The sequence below is a fragment of the Homo sapiens genome, chromosome 5, assembly GCF_000001405.40.
Source record: "Homo sapiens chromosome 5, GRCh38.p14 Primary Assembly".
NCBI lineage: Eukaryota > Metazoa > Chordata > Mammalia > Primates > Hominidae > Homo > Homo sapiens.
The window spans coordinates 169,144,836-169,170,544 of record NC_000005.10 but is presented as its reverse complement, the minus strand read 5'-3'; the positions used below and the strand labels follow the sequence as shown (position 1 = coordinate 169,170,544).

The following is a 25,709-nucleotide window of genomic DNA, read 5'->3' as shown; positions in this document are numbered from 1 at the left end:
GTCCCGCATGGGCAGTCTTTTAAGCTTGGGGGACAAAACCGTCTTCATTCCCCAACAGTGCTTCACAGAAGAGGTGACTGAAGCCTGCAAGCCCAGGACCAACAATTGGCTGCTGAGGCAGGCTGGCTCTTAGGACTCTTCCTCGCTCCTCAGGAGGAAGAGCAGGCCCCTAGCAGGGCTCTCTCTTCCTTGGTTGCCTTTGGAAGTTATGACTCTTCCGGACTTCTGTTTGATATTTCCGCAGTCTTTTCACCCCTGAGAAGTAGATGGGACCAACATCATGGTCTTCATCCCAAAGAATAGGGTGCCTAGCAACATTGTGGTCCTCAGATGCTCTTCCCAGGATCTGAAAGCCAGTGGGTGTGGAGGCGGCATGAGGTGTTCAAATGTGGGTGTCAGTGTGATCAGTTGATCTTCATAGCACATTTGTTACCTCCCATCCAGCAAGGCCACATCCCTCATCCGAGTGCAGTCAGGAAGGGTCTGGAGGTTCCCTCCTTGGCTTCCCTCCAGGAAGCCTTTTGCCTGAAGGGACTATTCCCTCTGCGAGGAAGGGCATTCCTGAACTGCCTGCCCACATCACAGGCTTCCACCCCAGGGGAGGGCTGGACTTGCGCTCTGTGGCCAGTCCCTGCAGCCTCTGGCATCACACAGTCAAGATCAGGACTTGAAGTTTCTCTGCCTGGTGGGGCTTTGCAAATAGAGGGTTTGGAGCAATGGGTAGATGTGTTTTGAATTGAAGCAGTTACCTCATTTCATCTCCTCAGTCAGGTCGTGTTTCTGTGGTGATGCAGCTTCTCTCTCAAGTTTAGTCTTCTCTTGTCTCCAAGTCTTAGTTATACTGTTGCTGGCAAGTAATTTGGGGTGTGCTAATTACCATCTGAACTGAGCAGCAATTCTCTGATAGGGACCAATTTGTGGTAAGGAGACTTTCCTTGCCAGGGATCCCCTCTCTAATTTTCGGAACCATGAAAACTTCTACCATTCTCCCCAGTTTGACATCTCAAGGGCCCCTGGCCTCAGACCTTTTTGCATGGAAAGGCTGGGAGAAACCAGCTAATTTATTTTCCTGAGTTATGTTATTGAAACCTGATTCCATTATTTATTTCAGAAAAAAATGTGTGTTTTCATACACTTCATATGTAGACAAGCCATGTAATGATATATTACTCTGGAAGCAGCCTTTGAGAGCTTCTAGTTGAGGCATGGCAAAGAGATTATGTCCTGGATGCCCACTCGGATTAGATAAATGGTGCTCAGGGTAATATATTGAACATGACTCTGAGGTCAGAAAAGCTCAGAAAAGGCATCTGGGGATATATTAGGCCTGGATGCCGTGGACCCAGGACAGGGAACGGAGCACATTCCCTAGGTGCTGTCACTCCCATGGAACTCATGCTCTTCATCTAGCAGGTTAGGAGCCGGCACCTAGAGATTGGAGGCAACTAGGATGCTGCTGTTGCTTACAACACCTCTGTGCGAGTTAGAAAAAGGTGATCCCCCCCCCACTCTGGGCTGACCCTGCTCTGGGATCACAGGGCTTGGGATGAATCCTAAGTGAATGCCTCTTAAGCAGGCTCCCTAGTGCTTTGGTGGAGGGAGAGGAGCATAGAGCTGAGTGGTCCCCAGTCTGTTGTCCCAGCAGGGTCTCTGGCCACTGGCCAATGCCAGCAATCAAGGAACTTCTCCATAATTTGCCCCAATTTGCCCCCATTTCCCCTTGTTCCTCCTGAAGGATGCATGCAGCTCAGACTTCAGCCATCAGCCATCAGAGCATCCCTGACAGTTTGAGGCCTTGAAGGGGATCAGGTGTAACTGAGTGGTTTAAAAGTATGAAAACCAGACAGATCTGGGTCTGAATCTCGACTTTGTCACTTTGGGTCCTTGGCCAACTGCTTAATTTCCCAGAGATTCGGTTTGGTTTGGTTTTGAAGTAGTGACTCCTACTACTTTTTGATTTAGTGACACCTAAATCATAGAGCCGTTGTAAAGATTAAATGAGATGCTGCATGTAGAGCTCCCAGCACAGTGCACAGCATTTAATTAACACTGTCTCAGTAAACATTTGCTATTTTTATCATCTGACTAGTGGAGTGCATTTTCCCCTGTCAGAAAGGCTTCAAGGCAGGGGAGAACTTAAAGCCAGATTGTGCAGCAGCCCCAGAGAGCTGGTGTTCTGCAGTCGTAGAACAATAGAAGACAAGATTGTAGAATATTTATTATCTTTTAAAGTTATTTTTCACCTTATTAAGAATGATTTGAGTGAGCGGTTTTGGATATAATACTAAATCACAGTTTTGTAAGATGCATAGCCTACTTTCTGGAAACTGTTTTCATTACTGCTAGACTGTAGGAAGGGGCTGACCCGTGCTTAGAGTGAAGGGCCCAGGAGGATGTGAGGGATTTGGGTTCTGTTGACCTACGGTGTAGGAGAAATGCTTGAAGAGATGGGGAGGAGCTCCCACAGGAAATTCTCATGTTTGTGCCAGTCTTTGTTGCCAGAAATCTCAACAGAACATGAAAGTTCAGATCCCCAGAGTGGACAGGCTAGGAAATTCTCAGGTAGAGTTCCAAGAGAGATGTGTGTACCTTCCTTCAGGAGGAGTAAGGGGAAACGGGGGCAAACTGGGGCAAATTATGGAGAAGTTCCTTGATTGCTGGCATATGGCCAGTGGCCAGAGACCCTGCTGGGACAACAGACTGGGGACTAGGTAGTGCAGCCAGAGTGTCAGTGAGGGGTTGCTGGGTGGCAGGTGGGCGGGGCAGAGGGTGCTAGGAAGTGGGTAGAGGAAGCAGAAGTTCAGGTACCAGAAGCCAGCCTGCCTGGGTTGCCACCCTCTGCTCCTTACCAGTGCAGATTAGCCTCTCAGGGTCTCAGTTTTGTCATCTGTGAAATGGGCATGATCATAGTACTTCGCTCCCAGGATTGCTGTGAGGATTAGGTGAATTATTGCTTAAAAGTGCTTAGAGGCCGGGCGCGGTGGCTCAAGCCTGTAATCCCAGCACTTTGGGAGGCCGATGTAAGCGGATCACGAGGTCAGGAGATCGAGACCATCCTGGCTAACACGGTGAAACCCCGTCTCTACTAAAAAACAAAAAAAAGTTAGCCAGGTGTGGTGGTGGGCACCTGTAATCCCAGCTACTCGGGAGGCTGAGGCAGGAGAATGGCGCAAACTTGGGAGGCGGAGCTTGCAGTGAGCCAAGATCGCACCACTGCACTCCAGCCTGGGTGACAGAGTGAGACTCCATCTCAAAAAAAAAAAAAAAAAAAAAAAAGTGCTTAGAACAGGGCCTGGAACCAAGAAGTCATTCAGTTCATATTGGTCAATATCATCGGTTTTTTTTGTTTTGTTTTGTTTTTGTTTTTGTTTTTAAGAGACAGGGTCTCACTCTGTTGCCCAGGCTGGAGTGCAGTGGCACAACCATAGCTCACTGCAGCCTTGAACTCCTGGGTTCAAGCAATCCTCCCACCTCAGCCTCTAGAGTAGCTAGGACTATAGGTGTACATTATCATGTCTGGCTAATCTTAAAATGTTTTTCAGACATGGAGGGGTCTCGTTAGTTTGCTCAGGCTTTTCTCAAACTCCTGGCCTCAAGCATCCTCTCACCTCAGCCTCCCCGAGCACTGTGGGATTACAGGCGTGAGCCGCCGTGCATGGCCAGTCATTGTTATTAACAAAGGGATAGGGGAGGTACATGGGAAAGTCACTTTGGAGAATATTCTACATTCTCCAAGTGACATGGGATCATACACAAACCTATCTAGATAGGAGGCATCATTCTTTTCATTTCTTCCATTCTGGAGTTACTCTCACCTGTGCTTTTTGGGCAATGACTGAAGTAAACCAGAAACTGGAAACAATGAGGCCTGTAGCATTAGGAAGGTGATATTGGGGATGGACTGGGTGGGTTGAAGAGGGCATGGTAATAATACCATGGAGCACCTGTCGAGCTCCCACCCTTTTGTTATGTGCTGAATTTACCTAACCACAAACAGATGCCAGGAGAGGTGAAGTGACTTGATCAAGATCCCACAGCTGCATTATAATGAGGTCTCACTAGCATGCAGACCGAGATGTGTGTGACTCTGGGACTCTCGCTGTTTCTGCCACCTCAGCCCACTCCCCCATTGCTCAAGATGATCTCCACTGCCCTGCGAACTGTAATATGGCTCTCATGGGCCTTGATGTGCCCGCTGCTAAATGAAGCATCTGAGCATGAACACGTTGAGAGAATAATTCACCAGGCAGCCCTTTTCTCATTAAGAACATGTGTCAGCAAACGATTCTCTAGCCCAGCATGAACAAGAACTTTGGGGGGAGTCTTTGGTCTCCATGGCAAAGACGGCTAAAAAACAAAGGCAGTGACCCCAGAAGAGGAGGAGGAGAAAAAAATTAGTAGCGTTAGTCTTAGATGGAAAGGTGAAAGAATGTAGTGCTTGGTTTCTGGAGTCAAATCCTGGCTTTGATCTTTACTGTGTGACCTTGGGCAAGTTATTTAACCTCCCTGTTTCTGTTTCTTTATGTGTAAGATAGGCATGATGATATGAATAGTGCCTACCTCTTAGGTTTCATCCCATCAACAAATATCTGCTAAGCACTCATTCAGAGCTAGGCACTCAGAAACTATTTCATTCTAGGTGCTGGGGACATAGCTGGGAATGAAAGAGCAAAATGCCTCTCCTTAGAGGGCTCATATTCTAATGGGACTCCCATTCTAGTGGGGGTGCACTTGATAGACAAGGTAAACACATAAAGCAACTGGTATGTTGGACAGTGATACATGCTAAGGAGAAAAATTACACAAAGCAATTGTCTTTGGGGGTGGAAGGGTGGAGTGAATTTTAGATAAGGTAGCCAAGGAAGGCTTTAATAAGAAGGTGACACTTGAGTAAGGACTTGAAGAAGACTTGAAGAAGGTGAGGGAAGGAGCCATATGCATATTTGGGGAAATATTGAATGAACGAATTTGTCAAATGAATGAATCCGTGAAAAAATAGGGTTGTATGGATGAAATGTGATCACAATAAATGTAACGCACTTAGAATAGTGCAAGATGCATAGTATGTGCTCAATAAATATTAGCTATCTTCATATTTAGCAGATTAGGCAGTGAAGTTGTTGCTGTCACTCCCCCTACTTCTGGCTTTCTGAAAGCATTTTCAAGATACGCAGAAAGGAAGGATACAGAAGCCTCTTCTGATTCTATTAGCAGACTGCATACAATAGGATCTCTCTTTTAGGTTGGCCTAGGCACAAGTTAAGACTCATCACACACACCTGGATTATAAAAATTCTCTTATGCATGCAGCCCTTCTGAGGTTTCTCATACTTTTGTGTAAATTGCATCACTTGTTTCTTCCAACATCCCTGTTGGGTAGCAAGGCAGGTGCCTTTAGTTACCCCCTCCCCTAGCAAAGGCAAGGGATCTAGCATTTCCTGAGCACCTACTATGTGCCAGGCACTCTGCTAGTTGTTTTGCCTATATATGTTGGCTCCCTTATCCCTCCCTAGAGTCCGGGAGGTCATGCATTATCATTACTGTTTGAAAGATGAGGAAATCTAGGTCTGGCTCCCCAGATTGGCACAGCAATAAGCTGCTTGCTGGGCCTGAAGCCCAGGCATCCAACGGCAGGGTATCTTCTGTGGCTCACGCAGTGAGCCTGCCCCCATCTTTGTCCCGAAACCTTGGCATGCCACCCCAGCAGGGCAGCCTTGCCTGGGAAGCCTGGGAACAGGGCGTGTTGTTGGCTTGCAGTTTAATTGAAGTGGAAAGCAGCCCATTGAGACAGGCCCAGATCTGTTAATCCTGCTTGTAGGAATGCTGGAGATAAAAGCAGCCATGGACCTAGAGAACAATAGCTCCACATACCAGCAGGAAAGGGCACTGTCATTGCCCCAAACCAAACAACTGCCAGGGCCTGGAGGGTCTGGCGGGGAAGGCCCAGGATGAGGCTGACTCATAGAGATGACAGAACAGCCCGGAGAGAATGGGAAAATGTAGAAGGCCAAGTTTACCCCAGTGCATATATACTTTGGGGCTGAGTAATGTGGTAGACAAATCACTCCCTTCACCATCCCACCCAGAGTGGAAGCACACCCTGAAGCCTCAAGGATAATTTCTACTTAAAACAGTTGAGTAAAATGGAACCACAGACTCTGCTGCTTCTTCAGGAAAAGGGGCTGCGGTCCTGAGACTCCCAACCCGTTGTGCTAGAATGGGACCTTGGGAAGGAAAGCTTTCTCCGAGGGAATTGAATTAGCCGGAAATATTTAAGATCCCATTTTCCCTCCCATTGGCTTGTATTTACTGGTCTTGATGGGGAGTCCGAGGATGGTACTTAGAGGCCCTGCAATGGAAATTCTAAAACAATTGACCAGACTTTCGAATGTGTGGTTATGTTTAGATGTCTTGGGTTGCTTTCCCCTGACTTTGAAAAGGAGCAGACAAAACATGTTGATTTGCGAACATCCTTCCAGAACATAAATCACTGGGGTGAGTGTGGGGTTGGAGTCTGTCATAGCTCACTGGGAGATGGGCCCACTGCCTGTCTTTCATGGTCTCCCCTTTGCACTCTGCCCTCTGCCCCATGGACATTCTCACTGGGGGCCCGCAAGCATCACCTCTGCCCAGGCCCAAAGGAACGAATGGGGCAAAAGTTTGAGGAATTTGCCTTGGTGAGTTTTATAGAAAAACTAGCCTGAAAGTGGTAAGATTGGAAGAGCGCAGGAGTGGTCACGTCACCCTTCCTTCCGTTGTCCAGTAGAATGACACTAGATAGTTCCTGAACTTCCTTAGTATTTCCCGATATGCTCTCTGCAATGATAAAATATCCAGATTTTATCTGGGCTGATAGCTCATGCTATCTGTCTAATCGCTTTGGTGAGGTTGCCAGCCTCAAGGAGAAATCAGGGAGAATCAGAAATTAAACATTTTTCAGTCATTTTTTTCACACATATAAGTTGCATTTTGGTTGTTCCTCTAGAGAGACACTAGGGAAAAGGGAGCCGCTATGATGTCCACAGCCCTCATTCCAAACACCCATTGATTAAACAGAGCCTGGCTCAGAAAGCCTGTGTCGGGATTAAGGTACTCATGTATCTTAAGTGCAACTTGGATTTCCCAGTTCAACCTGGGCTTCATGCATTGGAGTCTGCACGTTCAAAGTGAAAGTCATGTAAATCAGATGAATTTGACTATCAGCCTGGCACACCTTTTCATTTCCTTTTTTTTCCTCGCACGGTGGCCTGGGCTGGAATGCAATGGCACAATCTTGGCTCACTGCAACCTCCGCCTCCCAGGTTCAAGCGATTCTCCTGCCTCAGCCTCCTGAGTAGCTGGGATTACAGGCACACACCACCATGCCCAGCTAATTTTTGTATTTTTAGTAGAGGCGGGGTTTCACTATGTTGGCCGGGCTGGTCTCGAACACCTGACCTCATGATCCACCCACCTCGACCTCCCAAAGTGCTGGGATTACAAGCGTGAGCCACCGTGCCCAGCCCCTTTTTTAATGATCATCAGAGCCATTTTCTTCTCCCTCCTGTCTGTTATTGAGATATTTACTCTGTGTTGGAATCAGGTTCAAGTTCCCCATTCTCTGCAGGTCTTTCTCCCTTAGAGCTATCTCCCTACTCCTACCTTACCTTCCTATTATGATTTGGCAGTGAATCCTGTATCACCTGGCTGACAGATCTTAATGATGACCCTGGCCATTTAGCAACTAAGCCTCCTACCATGTGCCAGGCATCATACAAGGTCATTGCCCTAACTTCATTTTATCCTTACAGCAGCCTGAAAAGGTAAGGGGAGCCAGGCCCAGTGAGATTAAGTGACTTCATTAAAGTCCCACTCATAACAATCGGGGTCAGGAATGGTGTGAGCTCTGTTTGACCCCAAACCTCTGAACACGGATGCTTTGACTCATGGTGTGGTCAGTGCTGTTGGATAACTTTGCGCACATGCTTGTCTGGTTTTGATAATTAGGGAATATGCTTTGCAGGGCAGGAAGCTCACATTTCTTTGTGTCCCCATGGCATCTGGCACAGCACTTTTCACTCCAAAGACCTGCATGACTGTGTGTTGCTTGAGAGGTCTGAGCAGCTCATGTTCACTTTGTGCTGATAACCTGGAGACAGGAAGGAAAGGAACTTCTTCTCCTGCTGTAAGGGCAACATGGCGATACACAGCACATCTCAAACTCTGTGCATCCCAGTCTCCTGGAGGACTTGTTAAAACAAATCGCTGAACCTACCCACCAGTTTCTGAGCCAGTGGTTCTGCATGGGGCTGGATAATTTGCACATCTACCAAGATCCCAGCTGGTCTTGGACCCCACTTTGAGGATGACTGTCATACTGGGAAGTACAACCCAAATTCGAATCCCATCTCTGTGGCTTACTAACCACGGGCAAGTTTCTAGAACTCTCAAGGATCCAGTAGCACCCTCTGTAATGAAAGCATAATAACATCAACAAGTTGTTGTGAAAATTAACTGAATATCCCATATATACATAGTATTTCTTTAGCAAATACAGATACAGCACTTTATATGTGCTAAACACGTGTTGGCACCCTTTACAAACATGAACTTAATTCTCATAACAAGGCTAGGTAGTAGTCCCTCTGTTTTCTTCCTTGTACAGAGAAGGATACTGAAGCCCAGAGATGGTCTATGACTTGCCCAGGGTCACCCAGCTAGTAAGTGTGCAGAGCTGGGCTATAATCCAGACAGCCTGGCTCCTGAGGCCCCACCCTCAGCTACCACAGTGGACAGTACCTGGCCTGTCTCTTCCCCATTCCCAGGTTACACTAAGAATGGGCCCTACAAAAGGGCAGAGATTATTTTTCTAGTTCATAGGCAGATTAACCATACATGAAAAAAAAAAAAAAAAGACTGTTTTATGACCACAGCTTTGAAACCACATGGTTGGCCTCCCTTCTGATATCAGTATGGTCAGCCGGGAGTGACTGTTTCTCTTTAAACATCTCTGGCACCGAGGTTTATCATTGCTCAAGAGGACGGTGCTTTAAAGAGGCCTTCAGGCTGAAGGAGTGGAGGCGGCAGGATGCGGGTCAGTAATAAAAGTGAAGAGAGATTTGCAGCTCCCCCATGGAGGGCCTCAGGAGTCTAGCCAGTGGGCGGGTACAGAGGCTCGGCCCAAGGAAGGGGCAGTGATGGACAGGGTGGGAGGGGAGCAAATAGTTTCAGCATGGCAGAGTAACTGAAGCTGAGAGGGCAGGCAGTGGGAGAATTCCAGCTATGTCATGGGAAATGGCTATGGCCAGGGCTCTGAATTAGCGGCCGACCACAAATCCCCTGGGACCCTGCCAGGGGTCAGGAGACTGGGGCACCGCTGGGATGCCAAATGGTATGCCATATTTCATTGTCAGAGGAGGAGGAGGCGATTTTAACTGTTATCCCTAGATGTGAGTGCTGGCACTGCCAGGAGCTGAGAGCTGGGTGGGGACGTATGTAGGAGTGAGAGAGAAGCTAGAAAAATCCGCTTTTCATTCCAAGGAACAACATAGAGGAAAGACCAAGCCATGCCGCTGGGGATTCGCATGATCTCAAAGCTTTTTTGGCCACCATCTCTGAAGGCTTTCTGCCCTTTTTTCTTTTCTCTGCAAGGTGAGACATCAAAGTCTCCCATTGCCATGTTAGAGAGCTAAAAGGGAAATGCTGACCTGGATCCCTCAAAGTGTAGGTGGATGGAACAATGGGGCTTCTGGGAGAATGGGCTTCACGTGGTTGGCCTGTTTGACATCTTTGGCTTGGAGCTGAGCAATGAAATGTGGAAAAAAATCAGCTTTGAAAGTAAACGAGCTCAGTGCCCAGCCCACGCTGGGGATGCTGGGAGGGATAGGGTTGTATCACTTGATTCATTCCTCCAGCTTATCTCAAGTCCTGGCACCATGAGGCCTTTATAAATGTTTGTTGAGTGAATGAGGGGACTGATTGATTAATTGCTTAATTATGTCCAAACGGATGATAAATTCAAAAAGAATCTTGGCTAACTCTTTAGAAATGCTTGATGAATTAAAGGTTTTTCTGAACTCATCATCGCCCCCTGTGACTGTGAAAGGAAGCCTTTCACCCAGGCTAAGAGGAATGGACACGTCTCTTTTTTCTTAGGTATTTCACTGGATTTCATTTACACTGTAAATAAAGGTTAATAGCCTAGGCCTTAAAGTTAGACAAGTGAGGTTCACACTGGGCAGGTGAGATGTGTGCCCTTAGGCAAGTCACTTAACTTCTCTGAGCAGTAATTTTCTCATTATAAAAGGAAGATAATAGTAGTGTCTTCCTCCTCAGACCATTAAAATAATCTCTCTGAATGGCATGGCACAGTGATAGACATGTAATAGCCTTCAGTAAGTACAACTCTTTGGGATCAGTGAGGATTAAGTTCAACTAAAGGAACATAAAACCCCTTAGTAATGGCTTAAACAAGGTAGAGATTTGTTTTTCTTTATGAATCTACAATTAGGAAATCTATAGTTGGTATGGTAGTTCTGCTCTACCAAGTGCTCAGAGACCCAGGTTGATTTGGCTTTGTTCTATTATCCCTATGTTGTGGCCTTATCCCAGTAGTCTAAGTTGGAGTGGCAGCCATTATATACATTTTCTAAGAGGCAGAATGAAGGAAAAACAAAAAATGGGAAAGGGCATGTGCTGGTTGCATTTTAAGGGAAGTAGCCATGTAGCACTTTTGCTTATATCACGTTAGCGTATAGTTGGGTCATGCTTTTTTTTGTTTGTTTGTTTAAGAGACGGAGTCTTGCTCTGTCACCCAGGCTGGAGTGCAGTGGTGCAATCTGGGCTCACTGCAAGCTCTGCCTCCCAGGTTCACGCCATTCTTCTGCCTCAGCCTCCCGAGTAGCTGGGCCTACAGGTGCCTGCCACCACGCCCAACTAATTTTTGTGTATTTTTAGTAGAGACGGGGTTTCACCATGTTAGCCAGGGTGGTCTCGATGTGCTGACCTTGTGATCCGCCCACCTCAGCCTCCCAAAGTGCTGGGATTACAGGCGTGAGCTACCGCGCCTGGCCTGGGTCATGCTTTTTAAAAAAATCTACCAGTCTCTGTTTTTTGCTGCTGTTGTTGTTTTGTTTTTTTGAGATGGAGTTTCGCTCTTGTTGCCCAAGCTGGAGTGCAATGGCACGATCTCAGCTCACTGCAATCTCTACCTCCCGGGTTCAAGCCATTCTCTTGCCTCAGCCTCCTGTGTATTTGGGATTACAGGCATGTGCCACCATGCATGGCTAATTTTTGTATTATTAGTAGAGACAGGGTTTCTCCATGGCTAATTTTTGTATTATTAGTAGAGACAGGGTTTCTCCATGTTGGTCAGGCTGGTCTCGAACTCTTGACCTCAGGTGATCTGCCCACCTCGGCCTCCCAAAACGCTGGGATTACAGGCATGAGCCACCATGCCCAGCCTCAGTCTCTGTTTTTTAATTGGTATATTTAGACCTCAGGTGATCTGCCCGCCTCAGCCTCCCAAAGCACTGGGATTACAGGCATGAGCCACCATGCCCGGCCTCAGTCTCTGTTTTTTAATTGGCATATTTAGACCATTTACATTTAATGTAATTATTGGTGTGCCAAGTCTGCCATTTTATTTTTTGTTTTCTGTTTGTTCTGTTTTTAGTTTCCTTGTTTTCTTGTGGGTTACAAGAACATTTTTTAGAATTCCATTTTGATTTATTTATAGGTTTTTGATTCTTTTTCTGTATAGCATTTTTAGTAGTGCCTCTAGGTATTATATGTGCATAACTTATCACATTCTACTGGTGTTGACAATTTACTAGTTAAACTGAAGTGTAGAAACCTCACTTCCCTTTATGTTCCTTTGCCCTCCCCTATTACAATATAATTGTCTTAAATATTTCTACATAAACTGGAAAACCACACCAGACAGTAGTTATAATTTTTGCTTTAATCACCAAACATAATTTAGGAAATTTAAGAAGGAAATATATTTTCCCATATTTTTACTCTTTCCATTGTTCTTCCTTTTTCTGAATATTCTAATAGTCATTTTCTTTTTGTTTAGAGGATTTTTTTTTAGCCATCTTTTAGGGGCCATCTGCTAGTGACAAATTTTCTTAGTTTCCTTTCATCTGAGAATTTCTTGATTTTCCCTTCATTCCAAAGGATATTTTTGGCTGGATATAGAATTCTGGGTTGACAGATCTTTTCTTTCAGCCCTTGAAAAAAAATTGTGTCACTTCCTTCTGGACTTCATGGTTTCTGATGAGAAATATGCAGTCATTTGAATTCTTTTTCCCCTGTAGGTAAGTCAGTAAAGTATTGTTTCTCTCTTGCTGGTTTCAAGATTTTGTTATTTCCAGAAATTTTTCTATGGTGCGTCTTGGCATAGATTTCTTTGGATTTATCCAGTTTGGGATCTTCTCACCTTATTTAATCTGTAGGTTTCTGTCTTTTTCCAAATTTAGAAATGTCTCAACCATTATTTCTTCATGTATTTTTTAAGCCCCATCCTTTCTCTCCCTCTTCTTTTTGATATCTGATTATACAAGTGTTTGATCCCTGGGGCTCTGTTCATTTTTTTTTTTTAATTCTGTTTTCTCTCTGTTGTTCAGATTGTGTAATTTTTATTGTTCTACACTCAATTTTACGGTGGAACCCATTCATTGAATTTTTTATTTTGGCTATTTTTTCCTGAAATTTTCATTTGGTTCTTTTTTCTTTGTTTTTTGCTGAGACATTCTAGTGTTTCATTTCTATCAAACATGTTCCTTATTGTTCATAAAAACATTTCTAGCATGGCTGTTTTAAAATCCAAATCAGTGGTGGCATCTTTTGATTGTCATTTCTCATATAAGTTGGTTTTTTCTTATTCACTGCATGATGAGTGGTTTTCTATTGAAACTGGACATTTTGAGTATTATGTTGTGCGACTCTGGATCTTATTGAATCTTCTGTTTTAGCTGGCTTTTGATACTGCTCTGACATGGGAAGGGGAGGCATTGCATTGTTATGGCCAGATAGGGGTGGAAATCCAAATTCTCTACTTGGCCTCCACTGATACCTGGGGGGAGGGGATCTTTGTTACTGCTAAGTAGGTGTGGGAATTTCAGCTCTTCACTTGGTGTCTGTTGATACCACCTGGCTGGGAGGGCAAGCATGCCTTATTACTGTTTCCCACATGGCCTCCCAACACCTCAGGGTAGAAGGGGCAGGGGTGGCTTCTTTACTGCTGGGTGCTGGTGAAAGTACTGACATTCCATAGAACTCCTCTGACATCACTCCCACAATTATGTCACAGGGGAGGGGTACCTTTTATCTGTTGCCAAGTGGGCGTGGAAGACCAGCCACTCCTTACAGTCTCTGCTGACATTGTATGGAGGGACTTCATCACTACTCAGCAAAGTTCAGAGTCCTAGCTCCCTACTTGGCCTTCTCTGATACTACTCCAGCAGGGACTTGGGGTACTTTGTCTAGGCTCCCTATTCAGCCAGTGCTGGTGGAGGTGGGGGGGGCCAGATTTTTTTGTGTGTGGTATCTCGTTAGAGTCAAGTGATTATTGTCTTCAAGTTTTCTGTTTACTAAGCTGCCAGGTTGGAGATATATGAAGCAAAAGGAAAACCCAGAGAACTCACCACCATCTGTGTCATTCCTGAGGTCCCAAGTCCCTTGCCAGCCTGCCTTCTGCTCTCCTGCCTCTGAGAGTCTTCTGGTGTTTGTTTTGTATAATGCTCAAGGCTTTAAATTCAACTCAGTGTGATGAATAAGCAAAAGCACATCTACGCCATCTTTCCATAAGTAGAAGTCCTCTAGATAGCTTTTTATGTATATCATCAGGTACCTCAATGGTTCTGACAGAGCGACTTGAGCCACCTGGTGGTTTGCACCATCGTTTGCTCATGTATGATTACCTTTCAATCTCTTAGTGAGTATTTTTAGTGATACTGCCTGGTGCCCATCAGTAATGTTGTAGAAGATGCTCTCCACCAAGGGGAAAAAACAGCCCAGACAGGGCAGGAAATGGGCACAGATGTGCCTTCCCATCTCCACAGCCAGGGAATACGTCTGCAGATCCTAGAACCAGGCTTCTCGAACACGAGGACTATTGACAGGCTGAGAGTTCACTTGTCAAATTAGCCATTGGGGGTGAGAGATCAATTAGGGAATGCTTCATTAGGGTGATAAAGGGCATTAAAGAGGATGTTACTTGGCCCTGTACACGTGTGCATGTACACTGTGGCTTTCTGGGAGGCATTTATCTTAGAGGAAAAGGTATTTTCAGAGGCTTCCCTTTACTCCACTGTATTGATTTCTCACTCTTTGTCAGAAGGGAATGAGATAGGAAGAAAGTTGTTCGTTTTCTCTTTACCAGTTAGGAGAATGACCTGGGCATCTCATAGTAGTGAGCCTGACATTCTGCAGAATGTTTCCTGAGGCTTCTATGGGGTGAGAAGTTAATAAGTTTTCATGATCAAACACATTTGAGAAATATTAGGTTAAAATAAGTAAAATAACTTTCTGTGGAACCTTTGAAGAACCTTTAATATGCTGATGTACATTGCAAATCTTCAGTGTTTTTCAACTTTACCCCGTCACGGATCCATTTTGTTATGGAGCACTGCTCTCTGGACTGGTGTCCTGAAGAGGCAGCTTATGGGATGTGCTACTGTAGGCGAGGTGGAGCAGTTCATACGTTGAACAGAAGGAGTAGTGGTGGTCCTTCTAACCAGGGTGCACAGGCAACTTTTCTTACTATCTGTGGCCACTTCTGTCCCTTTAGAAAAGATAAAGCCAATTTACATTTGTCACTTGGAGAATTGGAGGGCTATGCCTTAGTCAGATCCATGTCCCCTGCAAACTCTTACTTCAAAGGAAAGGAAAAACCTCAGAATTCTGCCTTGGGTTTCCTCCAAAGAGCCAAGTCCCCCAGGTTACCCAGAAGCATAGACTCACTGCAGTGAGCAAAGACTCAGGCTCATATTTTCTCTCTACCTTCTCCCAGTCCCAGCCTTGTATCTACGTTAGAATTGAGATCTCTTTATATTTGGGGATCTTTTGCTCCAAGTGCTTTGATTTTTACCTAGGACAAAAGGTTTATACCTTTAGCAGCTTGTGGGGCAGTGGGGTTTTCAATAAATTAATTTCAGATCCAAATTATGCATGATGTTGCATTATGTAAATGTGACTTAGGCCAGGAAAAAGGTTTGGATCACTATTAGCTGCAGACACCGAGGTGTTGACGGTGGTTGGAACAGTCTTGCTTTGTCTGAGTAGGAATGCAGCCTCCAAAAGCTGACTGTTGATAGGGAAGACTTCAGTGTATTGTCCTTTTGTTAAGGAAAATATGTGGATGTGCTTGGCAAATTGGTCCCTATCTGACTCGCAGACACAGGGTTGATTGGCTCAAACACTAGCTGCTGACGCTAGGTTACCAAAAACTGCAACTTATTGTGCACACTGTCATTACTTTAACCAGGTCTTGGTGAAGCTGGTAAGCCAAACTGACTGTCTTCAACTTTGTCATCCTATCTGATTCTTAGAGCTGATTTTTAGATGATTCCTTCTGTTGATGTTCCTGAGGAAAGCATTCTTTTTACCATGAGATGTAGTCCAAAGATGGCTTGGTCTGAGATTGCTTTGAAGGTTAATTTGGAAAAGCCTCGATGAGCTTATAACATTCAAGAAGAACGTTCTGCTGATCATGCTTATTTTCTTTGATCCTTGTTCTCAGTTTGCTACATATTTCAAACTAAGTTTTAGAATTCCTGAATGTCCACACCACCCAAGGTAATAACTAACATTTATAGTGCATTTTAAAAGTACCAAGCATTGTGCTAGCCTTTATATTCATTACAAATTTACATTCATCACAAATTTAATTCCCTCAATAATTCCATGAAGCTGTCTTGACTTTATTAATGAGGAATAAAGTGATTGAGGAACATGTTCGAGTTTGCACAGCCAATGGAGCTCTGGGGCTGGGATTTGACCCAGAGCCTATGCTGTTAACTCAACAGTCCCTCTCTCAGGATGCACCTGAGCATGGCCTTGTTCTCAGCAATGAGATGTGTCTGCCAGGCAGGAGCTGGACCTAGAACCCTAGGACTAGGCAGAAGGGGTAGAGAGTCATGCCCACCTATAGGATGGCAGCAGGCAGAACTCAGGAAGTGCAGGGTATGGCCAAGGAGCCAGCAGCATAGGGAAGTACAATTAGAAGTAATAGAAGCAGAACAAAATGATGGAAACATTAAGAGTCTATGTTACCCAGAGCTCTGAAAAGGCTGGCAGCATCGGCCAGGCACGGTGGCTCACGCCTGTAATCCCAGAACTTTGGGAGGCCGAGGTGGGTGGATCACGAGGTCAGGAGATCGAGACCACGGTGAAACCCCGTCTCTACTAAAAATACAAAAAATTAGCCAGGCTTGGTGGTGGGTGCCTGTAGTCCCAGCTACTCAGGAGGCTGAGGCAGGAGAATGGCGTGAACCCAGGAGGTGGAGCTTGCAGTGAGCTGAGATGACACCACTGCACTTCAGCCTGGGTGACAGAGCAAGACTCTGTCTCACAAAAAAAAAAAAAAAAAGGCTGGGAGCATCAAGGGAGTCTGTCAAGGTTACAGCTGGGTGGCTGGGGTTCAGAGTAGGACCCCATGCATGAACTTGAACTAAGGGGCCAAGTAGTTCACCTTGATGGAGTCTGGCCGAAGGAAGACATCTGCAGCCAATAACCAGAACTAGAGTTCAAGGAGAGACTCCACACTGAAGGCAAAAGTTGAGCTAAAAGGAAAGGGTTAGAATCAGAGTCAAAGCAACATTCATGTTGGGGAGTCCTGGCCTGCAAGGCAGAAATCCCAACATCCCCTCTGCCCAAGAGATAATTAACTTCTTGTGCTGATTTAGGACAAGCCCTTCAGGCAGACTACTAGCAGCCTGTGCCTGACGTTCAGCCTGTCCTAGAGCCAAAGATAAAACGCAGGCCTGCATATTTAAGAAAAGCCAAGGATCTGAGTATTGTCTGACAGTCTGTTTGTAGAGAGAGTAAGACAGCAAACTTGGGTTTTGCAATACCACTTTGCTGCTCAAATAAAATACAGTCCACTGCCACAGTTTACAGGTTGTAATATTTGTTAAAAGAATTTGAATTCTGCAAAAGCACCTGAAAGCTGCCCAATATGCTTTCCATTGCTGTGTGAAGCCTGAAGAGTGCACATGGCAGTTGTGAATTTCAAGGGTTGTTCAGGGAGAGAAAATCGTTACTTGTCCATTTGCCAAATAATTGGGAATTTAGCTAAGTCAAAGTAGCGGGTGGGGGTGGGGTGGGGCTGAGGATTCCTCCTCCCCTCCCCATTGGCCCAAATGGAGTGAGGGGTGGGCGACATAGCTTGATTTGAGGCGACTTGTCAGTATCCTGCTGTGCATTCTGAACCTGGCCCACGTCAGCCGAAGTGATGTCTTATCCAGACACACACTATGGGAAATGTGAACTGGATTGAAATCAGAGCAGGGATGACTATGGGGACATTCAGAGCCTTCTGAAGGTATTTTTAGAATGCTTTTAACCTGAAAAAGGGAAAGTGCCACCTTTCTGGAGACCGTAGAGCTGAGAATGACTCACAGCGAAACCAGGCTATACCTAATTTGGGGGAAGCCCCCTTTGGCTGCTTCCTTGGGTCCAGGTGGGAGTGCCTGTTCTTAAGCTCTGGGAATGTGACATACCGGGGTAGGTGTCATTACAGCCCCTCACACTCTGAGTCTGAAACTAGGACACTCACAGTGTCAGGGAAGGAAATAATTATTCCCTATATTTCTGAGTATGGTTTACAAAACACATGGATAGATTTTCTATCACTGATGGTATTGGATACACTGGGCAGGCCTGCTGTCTTCCACTTTTCTGATAAGGATCTTGACGTTCACCATGTGCCACGCCCACACAGCTCTAGAGTAGACTCTCAGCCCATATACTCACCTGTAAGCCAAAAAAGGTACACGTGGTCAAAATTACCCCGCAAAATGCTGCAAGTCATCCCCACGAGGCGGTGCCCAGACACTTTGCCCCCGAAGAGCTGGAAGAGATTAGTTCCTTCAGTGGACTACCAGCCAAATTCAGGTGACTTACATTTAGAGGTCAAGTTTCTTAATACTCAGCCTGCTGAGATGCATGCACGCGGGACACCTGCAGAAGCTGAGGGATCAGCAGGTTCGAGTCTCCCCTTCCACGCTCACTGCAGGTATTTGCTTTCTGAGTGATGTGGCAGGTGACCATTTCAGTTGTTGACTTTCTCTTTCTTCTTTGTGAGAAATGCACATAGTTGAATTTGCTCAATTTAAATTTGTGTGTGCTGTGGTTTTCCTGGAAGTTACAGAGCAAGCATTTGAGCCAAGGCCCCCTGACTTCAAACCTGGGGCTCTTTGTACCATAATCACATGACCTCTCTGGGTCCAGTGTTGCCTGGTCAAGGAAACATTCATCTACTAACCTTTCAGCCATAATAACAAAACTAATAATGATGAGGATGTCAACAGCAAGTATTGAGATCTCATTTTGTGCTAAGTGTTGCACAAGCTTTATTCTATTTGCTTTTCAAACAACACCTTGAGACAGGTGCTCTGATCATCCTCATTTCATAGGTGGGAAACTAAGGCAGAATGATTGAATAGGGTTGCTCAGCTTGTAAGAGGCAGGGGCAGGATTTGAAGTCAGATCTAGCATCTCCAAAGCCTTCACCAGTTTGCTCTTCTGCCTCTTTCTCTATCTTTTCCTGACCACTGAGGGATGTGCCCACTTACTCGATGAGGAAGGCAGGCCTTTCAGAGGCTAAAAGGAGCCGACCCTAGTACTTTACAGGGCTGGGCTCTCTGGCTTGCTCTCATCACAAGCCTGGGAAGTTAGTAGCAAATGGCCAAGTCATCTCACTAAATAAAGTTTCCAAGAAAGATGACATTGATGCCAAGTGAACAGGCAGCCAGCATGTCTTCTCCCAGGGCTGACAAAGTACTCAAATTCTTTCTTGTGTACTCTCAAGGAAGCTCATTTTGGTCCCTTACAGGAGGGCTGTCCCAGCATTGGTTTTTCTCCCTGCCAAAGCTGTTATTCCAGGCTGGCTTTTAAAGTGAGTGAGCTCTTTGGAGTATTCTGCTTTCAGTGTGATAGGCCATTAGAACCCAGTCGCAGTGGTACTATGGATGGAGCTCAGGGAAGTCTCAGAAATGAGGGCAGGAGGTTTGATCCCTATAAAAGGGGAAGCAGGACCACTCAGGGTAGAGGGAAATACACTCCCAGGCGGCAATGGGCTGCAAATGATGCATTTAATGAAAGGGCCACCTGCTGTGCTGAGAGAGAGATGGTCAAGGCAAGGCAAGGAATCACTTGCTCAGTGGGAAGCAGGGGGTGGTCACTGCTTCTGTTTCAAACGTCGATCCTGGTGTCCCTTTCACTTCTCTTCTGTGTTCCAGCCCTGATTCCTGAACTGCCACCTGGGTCCCAAGTCCCAAATTGTATTTTTAGAGTTTTTTTTTCCTCACTACTAGATCCTTCTTATCTGGAAGTCCAGCTGTAGGGAGCTTAGGACCCTCTTTCTTAGGGTCAGAAAAGGTTTGAGTTTTGATCTTTCCAAATTACTGGAGAATTAATTTCAGCAGATGTTTCCAGCATCTCCCGCATGAAATCAGATTGCTGATTCCCAAGCTACGTGTAAGGGTGGGTTTTTAAGAATGGCAGGTAATTTACAGGGTGATGGCTGGATCCTGCTCCATATCCCCAGATCCTTTGGAGACCAGTAGATAAGACCTCTCTTATGCAGATGTGAACTCTTGTTCAAGTTCTTGTTCAAGGTCACAATGCATTAGTATTAAAACACAGCAGGAGGTAGTTTACCTGACTCTTAAGTCAGCCTTTCACCTCCTTCATCCTGGTGCCTCCATAAGGCAAAGAGGGGCCAGGGCGATTAAAACAGACATTACTGCTCCATTACTCCATTCAAAGTTTGTACATCCCTATGTGAGGTAAGGGTGTGTGTGTGTGTGTGTGTGTGTGTGTATGTGAGTGAAATAGAATGGGATGGGAAATTGTTCCTCGATCCCAGTCTGGGACAGAGACCATTTTTTCTTCCTTAGTTAGACCTTTGTTTAGGCCCAAGTGTTCTGCATGTCTCAGAGAACCTGCACAGCCTCACAGCTTTATCCTTATCTTATTTTGTATTTAACCTCATTAGCCATTTGTGGTCCTGGCCTAGACCAGATCATGGCAAGCACACAAGGCATCTGTGATGTTTTTCTCTGCCGTGAAGTGCCTGGTATAGTAATTAACTTAGAGATCTGGACTACAACAGGATATTAGGGGTTGGAGCGGGGAGCAGATTCAGAAAAACTCTTGCTAATTTGCAGAGGTCTTCATAAAACAGAAACTAATTATTTGTTGATTTGTTGCTCATATAAGGCATATTTATAATATCCAATTGCCCATCAAAATGTAATGGTGTGAAGAGCCTGGTTTTGGCATCTAACTTCCAGGGTTGAAATCCCACACACTGGCCACGTGATGGTGGGCAAGTTATTTTATCTTCCAGAACCTCGATGTCTTCATCTGTAAAACAGGAATGATCAAATGAGAATTAAAGGAGATACGCAGTGATAGTACTTGGCATAGTTCCTGGCATAGAGGGAAGTCAACAAAAGTAGAGGGTCTCATCTAGCCTGCTGCAGCCATCTCATGCCATCACATCCACTGTGGCTAGAGCTTAGATTCTGCTGAAGTAAGGACCAGCTAACATTGACCATCTCACCTGACTCGGGAGAGAAGAATCTGTTGGAATTTGATCACAAGTGTGTGCTGTCAGATCGTCCTAGTTCGGGACACTTTTGTGTAACCAGATTTTAAAAACCATTTTACGTTATTCATGCCCTTGATCTTTCAAGCTGTGGAACATCAATTTCCTCCTCTTCACTTTCACCACTGTTCACAAAAGTAGGTAAACGGTGGCCCCTTTTCCCCTCCCAGTTTCTTTGATTCTGTGGACTTGTGCTGATAGCCACTAGAGGGTGTACCAGGGGTCTCTGGAGTCTGGGTCTCTTACAGATGGATTTGAAAAGTCAAAAGTCAATCATTGCAGAGCCCTCAGAGGTGAAGAGCCAGACTGCAGTGCAGATGCAGGAACAGAATTTTAGAGCTGGAATTAATCAAGGAGAATTACCACAAGTTGAAAAAAAAAAAAAAGCCCATGTTGTATTCTCTCATAAGTTTAGGCTGTATCTTTTTTTCTAACAAGACCATTTACAATAATTTTACCGCCAAACAATCATTGACTACAAAATGCCTTTCTATAAGCAATCAAATAAAATCTGTTAGCGTCATTTCCTCTTAATTTGTCATGCAATTAGTGTGTGATTAGAATTTCCCAGGCTGTGTTTCTTCTGTTTTAGGAGATCGGACTAGCTTGTGGCCATGGAATTTAGAGTTAAGGAGATCTGGCTTTCAAATCTCAGTTTCCTCCACTTAATAGCTCTGTAGCTTTTGGCGGGTCATGCAGGCTTTCTGTCTCTGTTTTCTCCTCTATAAAATGGGAATAACGATACTGCTTTAAAGGACTTCTGTGAATAGTAGATGTACACTGAGCACAGCGTCTGGGATAAGGTTTTCCAATAAATGGCAGGTATTGTGATTTTTTTTTTTTTAAGTAACACTGTTAGTCACAAACATCACCGATTTGTCTTGGAGAGCAGTTTATGACTTCTAGGATATAATTAAATGTGTCAGCTCCACTACTGTTTAAATTTTATCCACTCCGTTTCCTTGTTAAACATTTATTACATTATTTAAGGAATATACATTTTATACTGAGCACCAATGCCAAATCACAATTAGTAACAATTTTTATACAACACATAACCGAGGTCAGGGATTGTTTATGCGAGATGACGACAGCCACAGAACAACGTGCAAAGAAAATATTATGCCTGCTTGGCCATTCCTAACATTTCAAGTCAAGGTGTTGCATTTAATTACTCTCTAGAAGGTTTAATCTCAGACTTATTAAGAGCATGATTTTGTGAAGGCAAACAAACACCTCTGCTAGCAGCACCAAACATGTTTATTCCAAATAGTTAATTAAATTGTGTCAGTTCCTGCCCTGGAGCTTTCAGGCTATTCTGTTTTTTCTGCCCGTGTGGACGTTTTGTCATCATCATTCATTTTTATTTCCTCTTCGGCCTTTTAAAAAGAGCTCTGAGCAGCAGCCCAAGCATGTGTATAGTTGGAGCATTTTGCAAAGTTAAATTGGTTAAATACGGGCCCGGCATTGGCTGCTGGGACCATCTACATTTTTCAAAATCCACTGAGGTTTTTCAGTGGCATCAAAACAAACGTGAACAATTCTGACCCTGAACATAAGCAGCAATAGTGACTGAGGCCTGGATTACTCTGGAAGGACTTGGAGCTGCATGGAAGGAGGACCTGAGATTGGAACCTGGTACGTGGAGATATGATGGCTGACTTCCAAAGCTGGCTAACCCACACCTCATCTTCTTTCCCTGACCTGCAAAAACAGACAGGAACGAATCTTCTTGGAATCTTTCTCTAAGAAAAAAAGGGGGCTTCCTTTTTGGCTTCAGGCGTACAGGGCACCAGCCAAGGAGGGGGCAGAGAGAAGACGGAGGAAAAGGGAAAGGCACACAGCTCTGTTTTCATGGCAGTAGGTGGGGTACTGAGAGAGTCAACATCAGGAGGGTTTTACTTCTTAGACATCTAAGGCCCAGGGATACTTGACAGCTGGCGCAGGTTGCACCAGACACCCTCTACTGAAAAGCAGGAGGCCCCTGGTATCTCTATACTCTCATCCTGGCCCTCTTCAGCTGGATTAGAGAGAAAGGGGCAGAGGGCCAAGAACTCTCAGATCAGTCCATAGAAAGATAAATACTTGCAAGTCAATACTAAGGATAAAACCACCTAACCTCGTGGATAGTGCTGTAATGTACAAAGCACCATCAAATATTGATTTATGGCCAGGCGTGGTGGCTCATGACTGTAATCCCAGCACTTTGGGGGTTGCAGATGGGCAGATCATGAGGTCAGGAGATTGAGACCATCCTGGCTAACACGATCAAACCCTGTCTGTAGTAAAAATTAGCCAAGCATGGTGGCACGTGCCCATAGTCACAGCTGCTCAGGAGGCTGAGGCAGGAGAATCGCTTGAACCCGGGAGGTGGAGGTTGCAGTGAGCTGATATCGTGCCATTGCACTCCAGCCTGGGCAAGAGAGTGAGACTCCATCTCCAAAAATTTTTAAAAATATTTTAAAAGATGGATTTATGTGTTTGTCAAAGTCCTGCTATGTGCCAGACCCTCTGACATTTTTTTCTGATGTGTGGCTGGAACAAATTTGGTGAAAGGTGTATCTACCCAAAGATGTATCTAGCCTCAGAAATAGCCCTGTGCTGGACCCACTGTGGGGGCTGCATAGGAGTATCAGATATGGTTGCATCTTCAAGGAGCTATCAATCCAGTATGACAGACAATAACAATTGACATTTAGCAAGCACTTACTATGAGCCAGACACTAGGCTAAGTAGTTTTCTTGTATTAACTGCAGACCACACTGTGAGATAGGCACAATCACTATCTCCATGCTACAGATGAGGAAACTTAAGGCACATAGAAGCTAAGCAACTTGTCCAAGTTCACACAGCTAGTAAGTGGCAGCTCCAGCATTCTGCTGCATAAAAAGATAATGGGTTGGTACCCTGCATTTAAAAATGTACTTGTAAATATCAGCTAGGCAAATATATGTGCAAGGTGAGGCCTAAAAGCCCTCAGGATTATATTGGTTTGAAGGAAGAAGGGGGGCTCTGTGAGCTGGGTGTTTGGCACAGGTGTCAACTGGGGGTGTGACTTGGGTTTGGAAGAGCTTAGAGAAGCAGGGAGAGCATCCTGGTGGGTGAGAGGTGTGCAGGTAGCAGTGGAGGCAGGAGGAGCCGGGTGATCTGAGCAGGTGGATAACAGAGAAGGGGGTGTGGAGGTCAGAAGGGATGGCTAGAGCCAGCTGGCTTGTGAAGGGCCTTGAACTTCAAGCCATTGTCATCAAACCAGAACCAGGGGAAATGAAGTGATGAAAGCCCTGCAGCTGATGGAATCCCGGGAGGCATCAGGCTCCGTCAGGGCAGTAGATTCCCTCGTTTGAAAGAGAAAACCGCCATTGGTTAGCAGGAACATGGGCCAAACACTGCGTCATGTATTATTTTGCAACATCACCAGCCTGTGCTTAAGAGGGAATACGTTTTGCGGTTAAGAACAAATACCTTGCAGCCTGGCTGCCTGGGTTTGAATTCTTGTTTTGCCACTTATTAATTGCATATCCTTAGAGAAGTGACTCAACCTATCCGTGCCTCAGTTTCTTCTCAGTACTGTAAAATGGAGAGATATTCGTAATACATTCCTCATGAGGTTCTTGTAAGAATCAAAAGTGCCTCACATGTGATAGGATCTCAGTATGTGTTAGCTATTATTTTTTTTGAGACAGAGTATTGCTCTGTTGCCCAGGCTGGAGTGGAGTGGTGCGATCTCGGCTCACTGCAGCCTCCACCTCCTGGGTTTAAGTGATTCTCCTGCCTCAACCTCCAGAGTAGCTGGGACTACAGGTTGTGTGTGCCACCACACCTGGCTAATTTTTGTATTTTTAGTAGAGATGGGGTTTCACCATGTTGGCCAGGCTGGCCTCGAGCTCCTGACCTCAGGCAATCTGTCCGCCTTGGCCTCCCAAAGTGCTGGGTTTATGGGTGTGAGCCACTGTGCCTGGCCAGTGTGTGTTAGCTGTTATTGTTGTTGTTGATATGTTATCATCTTCAGCTTTGAGACTTGAGCATTATTCCAGAGCCCAGAAGCTGGCAGGAATAGGTTATTACTCTGCATGTATGAGTATGCAGTTTTATCCATACAGAGCATCCCTCTCTGTTTCTTAGCCATCTGAGGTCATTAGCTCTGTTAACGGGTGACAAGGAGCCCAATGTATGTGGCTGGGCCCCTTAGCTATAAAGAAGTTAATTGTAGCTGATTTACTAGAAGGCTAATAACATAGGTGTGCTTCCTTTTACATGGAGAGCCTCATTAAGTGGAGGTCTGTGGGCTTTGCCTGCAGCTTTGGGCATCTCTAGCATCTGCACATGTATACCTTAGAAGCAACATTGACCTGGGAAGAAACTGACACGCCCTGCAATGTCTCTACCGGAAAGGCCCCTGTCCTCAGCAGACCTAGTGGGCATCGAGCAATAATAAATTGTGTTTCCTCTGTAGTCCAGGAGACAGGAAGCTCCAAATTGGACTCTAATTAACTCTGAAGAAACAATGGGTTTCTCCAGAGCCCGGCAATTCTGGTCAGGTCTAAGGAGGTGTCACGCAGCCTTGGAAAATAATTACAACCATAATGACGATGCCTCCAAAGTCGGGCTTCTGATGATGCACCTTGAACAAATGTGTGTTTCTCCTTCCTCACAAGGTTCGCTGCCCTTAATTGCTACCCTCCTTCATTAAGGGGCAATTAATTTTGTGCCTTGGTTTAAAACGGCGGTAATTATAAGGTGAAGACAAAAAGCCCATGGTTAAACATAATCAGGCTGGATGTAAAAGGTGCTCCCTGGCAGATTAAGGAAGGTGGGAGGGAAGGAGCATGCATCGTCCCAGGCAGGCAACATTTTCCGTCTTGCTACTTCTTTTCTCAATTCGTAACTGCTG

General features: G+C 45.3%; 1 protein-coding gene across 3 annotated transcripts in view, besides 2 other annotated features; it reads left to right on the top strand.

Moving 5' to 3' along the window:
* The window catches only part of SLIT3 (slit guidance ligand 3), a 639,400-nt gene that overhangs the window by 130,595 nt on the left and 483,096 nt on the right, over positions 1 to 25,709 (top strand). The gene's annotated exons all lie outside the window — the stretch shown is intronic.
* Positions 5,002 to 5,866: an enhancer, noted in NCBI's record as "OCT4-NANOG-H3K27ac-H3K4me1 hESC enhancer chr5:168591683-168592547 (GRCh37/hg19 assembly coordinates)". NCBI's record gives its function as "activates a minimal SCP1, AML or CMV promoter by ChIP-STARR-seq in primed H9 embryonic stem cells {active_cell/tissue: H9 hESC(primed)}" and the evidence as "EXISTENCE:reporter gene assay evidence [ECO:0000049][PMID:30033119]".
* Positions 5,867 to 6,733: an enhancer, noted in NCBI's record as "OCT4-NANOG-H3K27ac-H3K4me1 hESC enhancer chr5:168590816-168591682 (GRCh37/hg19 assembly coordinates)". NCBI's record gives its function as "activates a minimal SCP1, AML or CMV promoter by ChIP-STARR-seq in primed H9 embryonic stem cells {active_cell/tissue: H9 hESC(primed)}" and the evidence as "EXISTENCE:reporter gene assay evidence [ECO:0000049][PMID:30033119]".